The sequence below is a fragment of the Homo sapiens genome, chromosome 10 (genome assembly GCF_000001405.40).
Source record: "Homo sapiens chromosome 10, GRCh38.p14 Primary Assembly".
NCBI lineage: Eukaryota > Metazoa > Chordata > Mammalia > Primates > Hominidae > Homo > Homo sapiens.
The window spans coordinates 63,706,342-63,711,672 of NC_000010.11; the positions used below are offsets into that span (position 1 = coordinate 63,706,342).

Here is a 5,331-nt window from a genome sequence, read left to right on the forward strand (position 1 = left end):
GAAAAGAACATTAAATGTCCTCACTAAAGGGAGCAGCAGATATTCTGTCCTAATCAATTACTGTCATATGGGAGAATGGCTCCAATGTTGTCAGAACTTAAGGATATGTATTTTTTAATATTTATTTATTTATTTTGAGATGGAGTCTTGCTCTGTGGCACAGGCTGGAGTGCAGTGGCGCCATCTCAGCTCACTGCAACCTCCACCTCCTGGGTTCAAGCGATTCTCCTGCCTCAGCCTCCCGAGTAGCTGGGATTACAGGCGCCCACCATCACGCCTGGCTAATTTTTGTATTTTTAATAGAGACGGGGTTTCACCATGTTGGCCAGGCTGGTCTGGAACTTCTGACCTCAGGTTATCTGCCCACCTTGGCCTCCCAAAGTGATGGGATTACAGGTGTGAGCCAGCGTGCCTGGCTTGAACTTAAGAATATGTATAAAATTTCTCTGCGTTTGTGGCTAGATTAGCCAGTTAGGAGATTCTGCTAGTATCAATGCACGCATTAAAAAATAATCCCTTGTATATTCCCAGGTGTTAATGTTAACATTTCTTATAAAGGCACTCATTTAAGATGCTTTGGAAATTAAGACATGGTTTTGGAACTTTAATTTTTCCCGTCTTCCTTTCCAGTTTTAACTGGAATACTTTATTAGTGCAGCTCTCTGTTGCATTCAGTTTACTTGCGGAGGTGGCATAACCATAAGGCAAAAAAGAGAGCTGTTAGCTATTGCTGTGCTTTGACTTTTTATTGATGAAAGCACTAACTGGGTAGTTGTTTTTTTTCAGATTATTTTCTACAACGATTATTATATAAGTAATGATAGGCTTTCAATCAATTATCTAAAAATTGCTTACATGTAGAGACTACAAAGATTATGGATATGCTAATGTTTAGATGTGGTTAGCTCAGATAAGTGCAACACACTGTTGGCAAGGCTGGGCTTGAGTTCTTGTGGCAAAACAACCAGTTAATTTCAGACACAGAAATCCTCTGTGTACCAGCAGAGAGTAATGGCTCAAGCAGAGCCACTTGAGTTTCATAAGACCTACTCCAATTTGCTGTTGATTTGATCTTGAGGGGAGCTAATAAAGGTAGTAAATGAGTCATTTTCCAGCATGATATAACTAGAATTGGTTCTTGGCCCAGAAAGATGTGAGTCAGTTTAGTCCTGACTCAGTTCCCAGTATGATGCACAGTGACTCATTTCCCTATGTGATGTCATGTTTGTTCCTTATAAGATTTGACCTCCTCATTGTTTTGTTGTATTTTTTTAAAAGAAGAAAAGGAGAGTGTTGTAGAATAAGATGAAATACTCCAAGGAATATAGAATCAGACTAATAAATAAAGCCTTGATATTCTCACAATGAGCCTGAAGGAATAATTAAACTTTAAACACCTATATTGTTGTTCCCATCTATTTAGATTATTAATTTCCAAACAGCCTAGCTATTAGGCAACATTTGATTGAAAACATTGCACGTGTAAAAGGAAAAAGAATTGCTATCACAACAATTCAATTATTTGGTAGATACATTTATAAAAGACAGCTGCATTTGAAAAAGTTGACAATAGATGGTCAGATTAAAGAGGACACATGAATGGATCTTTCTAGAAAGATACATTCATTTATACACAGAAGGTAACCAACAATGGAATGTTTCTTATGAAAACCGCATTTTCAAAATATGTAGAATTTTAAAATATACTGTGTAAAAATGGCTTTGTCAACTGTGAATGCAGTTCAGTGTTCATGGCTTGTGTTGGCGATTAAGTTTGGAGGCTGAGGAGAAAAGCAACTAAAGCATCTCCGACATTGTTTGGTGAAATGTATTAACTTTGGTGACCTCCTCAAGGCAGACCAATCTCATCCTCAGTAGGTAACTATACCGATAAAGTCAAAGCTATGTAAGTTAAGGTTTGTTTTAATGGCAAGCAATAGAAACCCCTTTTAACTAACATAAGCCAAAAAGGGAATATTGGATGGTTGAATAAAAGGAGGTGCATAATAACTAAGCCTCAGAGCACTTTGGGGGCCCCTCATTAGGTACTTCTAGACCTTCTATGGTTCTGTTGACTGCTAACCCTGCTCCAACAACCTTCTGTATCTGTTTCTCATAATTTACGTTTCAAATTCCCAGAGGATGATCCACTAATTGGCCTCACTCAGTAGGTGCATCTCCCTTTGGGACAATCATCCCTGACTGAGGGGCTAGCTGCACGATTCCCTCTGGAGAACCGTTATGAGCAGCACATCCCAACTTGTGTCTGTACAGAGACTGTTTTGTTCTCCAACTTCCTTCTCTTCCAGCCCCAGTCATAACACTGTTTTCATCTATCCTGTAGATGAGTGCATTCAAAGTTCTATGTTTACAGAGGTCACCGGGGGATCTCGTTAAAGTGCAGATTCTCATCCAGTAGACTTGGGGCACTACCTGAGATTCTGTATTTATAGTAAATTACCAGGTGATGCCAACAATGCTGGTTCTGGAACTGCGTTTTCAGGAGCAAGCCTGTATTAGGTGTTCTTGATGCCAAACTAGTATCTATTCTCTCCTCCCCCTTTCCTGGTAGCAGAGAAGTCTTTATCTAAGGATCCACTTCCATCCCTATACAGTCCATGTGCTTTGGGGGAAATTAAACACACTCCTAGCGCTCGTGATGGGTACCAATTGCTTTAAGCTAATCAGTCATTCAAGGTGATTTCAATGTCCCAGAACCTGAAACAGTGGCTAATATGTAGTAGGTATTCCATAAATATTTGTTCAATGAATATATGAGTTGATGTGAGCATAAATGTGTGAATTAAGGGCCAGGCGTGGTGGCTTACACCTGTAATCACACAACTTTGGGAGGTCGAGGTGGGCAGATCACTTGACCTCAGGAGTTCGAGACCAACCTGGGCAACATGGTGAAACCTTGTCTCTACAAAAAATACAAAGATTAGCCAGGCATTGTGGCGGGTGACTGTGGTCCCAGCTACTTGGGAGGCCGAGGTGGGAGGATTGCTTGAGTCTGGGAGGTGGAGGTTACTGTGAGCTGAGATCGTACTACTGCACTCCAGCCTGGGTGACAGAGTAAGAACCTGTCTCAAAACAACAACAACAACAACAACAAATATGTCAATTAAACTTACTCGATTTAGGTGAATCTCAGGACACTGGCTGGAATGCTGGTCTAGAAGCCCTCTTTGCCATCAGATGTAACTATTAGAGACTTGATTGTGACTGTCAGCATTTCTACAACCATTGGGAGAGTCAGCCTTAAAAAAAGGCTGACACGGCTGGGCGCAGTGGCTTAACGCCTGTAATCCCAGCACTTTGGGAGGCCAAGGCCGGTGGATCACGAGGTCAGGAGTCCAAGACCAGCCTGGGCAAGATGGTGAAACCCCGTCTCTACTAAAAATACAAAAATTAGCCAGGTGTGGTGGAGGGTGCCTGTAATCCCAGCTACTAGGGAGGCTGAGGCAGAGAATTACTTGAACCCAGGAGGTGGAGGTTGCAGCGAGCCGAGATCATGCCACTGCACTATAGCCTGGGCAACAGAGTAAGACTCCATCTCAAAAAAAAAAAAAAAAGGAAAAAGCTGACATGGCTGGGCGCCGTGGCTCACGCCTGTAATCCCAGCACATTGGGAGGCTGCAGCAGGCGGATCACCTGCGGTAAGGAGTTCGAGACAGCCTGGCTGACATGGCGAAACCCCATCTCTACTAAAAATACAAGAAAAATTAGCCGGGTGTGGTGGCGGGCACCTGTAATCCCATCTACTTGGGAGGCTGAGGCAGGAGAATCACTTGAATCCAGGAGGTGGAGGTTGCAGTGAGCTGAGATAGTGCCATTGCACTCCAGCCTGGGCAACAAGAGCGAAACTCCATCTCAAAAAAAAAAAAAAAAAAAAGAAAAAGAAAAATGCTGACACTAGTGAAGGTAGGACAGAGAGAGAGAAATGGGCCATTGATAGCATCATTAAAACACTGGATTAACTACTCTATGCCCACCCTAACAATTATGTGAAACAATAAATTCCCTTCAATTTTAAAGCCAGTTTTAGTTGGATTTTCTGTTACAACACAAAGAGTCTTAATCAACAATGGGGAAATGACTTATTCCATTCCTAGGCCATCCCACTTTGGTACAATGTGGGTTCCTTCATAGTCACCCTGGTCAGAAAACACCAGGATCAGAAGGCGTTCCAAAATACCCCTTGGTATGAATTTAGAAACAGGCTTTATTGTAGAAACATACAAAGCAAGTGTCAGCAGGCAAAAGAGTCATCTACAATCTCCCAGCCTTTCATGAATCCAAGAAAATGAATCTTTTAGAATATGGCAAGTTATGTTTTAGGGGAAGGACTCTACCTCCTTATTGCTTTCCATGTGGAGAGAGGATCAGAACAACTTATCAGTGGGGATGGAAATAGGTACTGGGGCACCAGGCAGTCTGAGTTATGTGTTAGATGTTCTGAGAAGTTGTCTGGGAAAGCCAGCTTTCCAGTTCTGGAGATTTGAGGACTGTGGAGAGTGGTAGCTCATATGAGTAGGGTGGGAAAGAAACTGCCAGTTCTGTGGGAAGCTAAATTTAGGGCAGCCCACCCCACTGGGAGAAGGGGGGAAGCCCCTGTTCCACTTGGCTTGTCCAAGCCACCCCAAGTGACCTCCCAGAGTCCCTTTTAGACAACTTTGCTTGTCATACACCAAACTAAACCCTTGACCCAGCCAGTTGCTTAAAATCCTTCATCTGCTTCACCACTGCCTTCAGGGTAAAGTCCAAGGAGTTGGTTGTCCGAGAGTCACCATCTGGCCCAACCCAACTATTTGGTCTTTCCGTGTCACCCTCCACCTTATACTGTAAACTCCAACTGTCCTGGATGACCTGCTGTGCTCCAAGCATTTCATGTAACAAAAGCTTTCAGTGTCTGGAAGACTTTTGCACCATGCGTCTTCCTGGAATGTATCTTGCTGAGCACTCTGTCCCCCAAATTTTGTCATGATCAAAGCCTGCTCATCATCTGTTTCAGCTCCACTGTTTCTCTCTCTGGAAAACATTCCCAGATCTTTAATCCCCATACCCTGCATAATTAATCATTGCTTCCTCAGAGTTCCCATGGCACTTGGTTCACACTGCTAGCATGCACTTATCACCTTGTTAAGCAACACATCCACGGCCTCCCCTAGATTACCAGTTTCCTGAGCACAGAGACCTTGTCTTACTTGTCTTTACAGCTTAAGCCGTACTGGGCTGCTCTCCATGGGACTGAGCCTGCTGGCCGCACTGTGGCATCCTGCCCTTTATTCTGTATTAGGGAGCATACCTTACGGCCAAGGCTTACTGAGC

The 5,331-nt window shown here is 43.2% G+C and overlaps 1 annotated feature.

Moving 5' to 3' along the window:
* Nucleotides 572-1,771: an enhancer, noted in NCBI's record as "P300/CBP strongly-dependent group 1 enhancer chr10:65466673-65467872 (GRCh37/hg19 assembly coordinates)". NCBI's record gives its function as "activates an origin of replication core promoter dependent on BRD2, BRD4, P300/CBP, MED14 and CDK7 cofactors, with strong dependence on P300/CBP, by STARR-seq in HCT116 cells {active_cell/tissue: HCT116}" and the evidence as "EXISTENCE:reporter gene assay evidence [ECO:0000049][PMID:35650434]".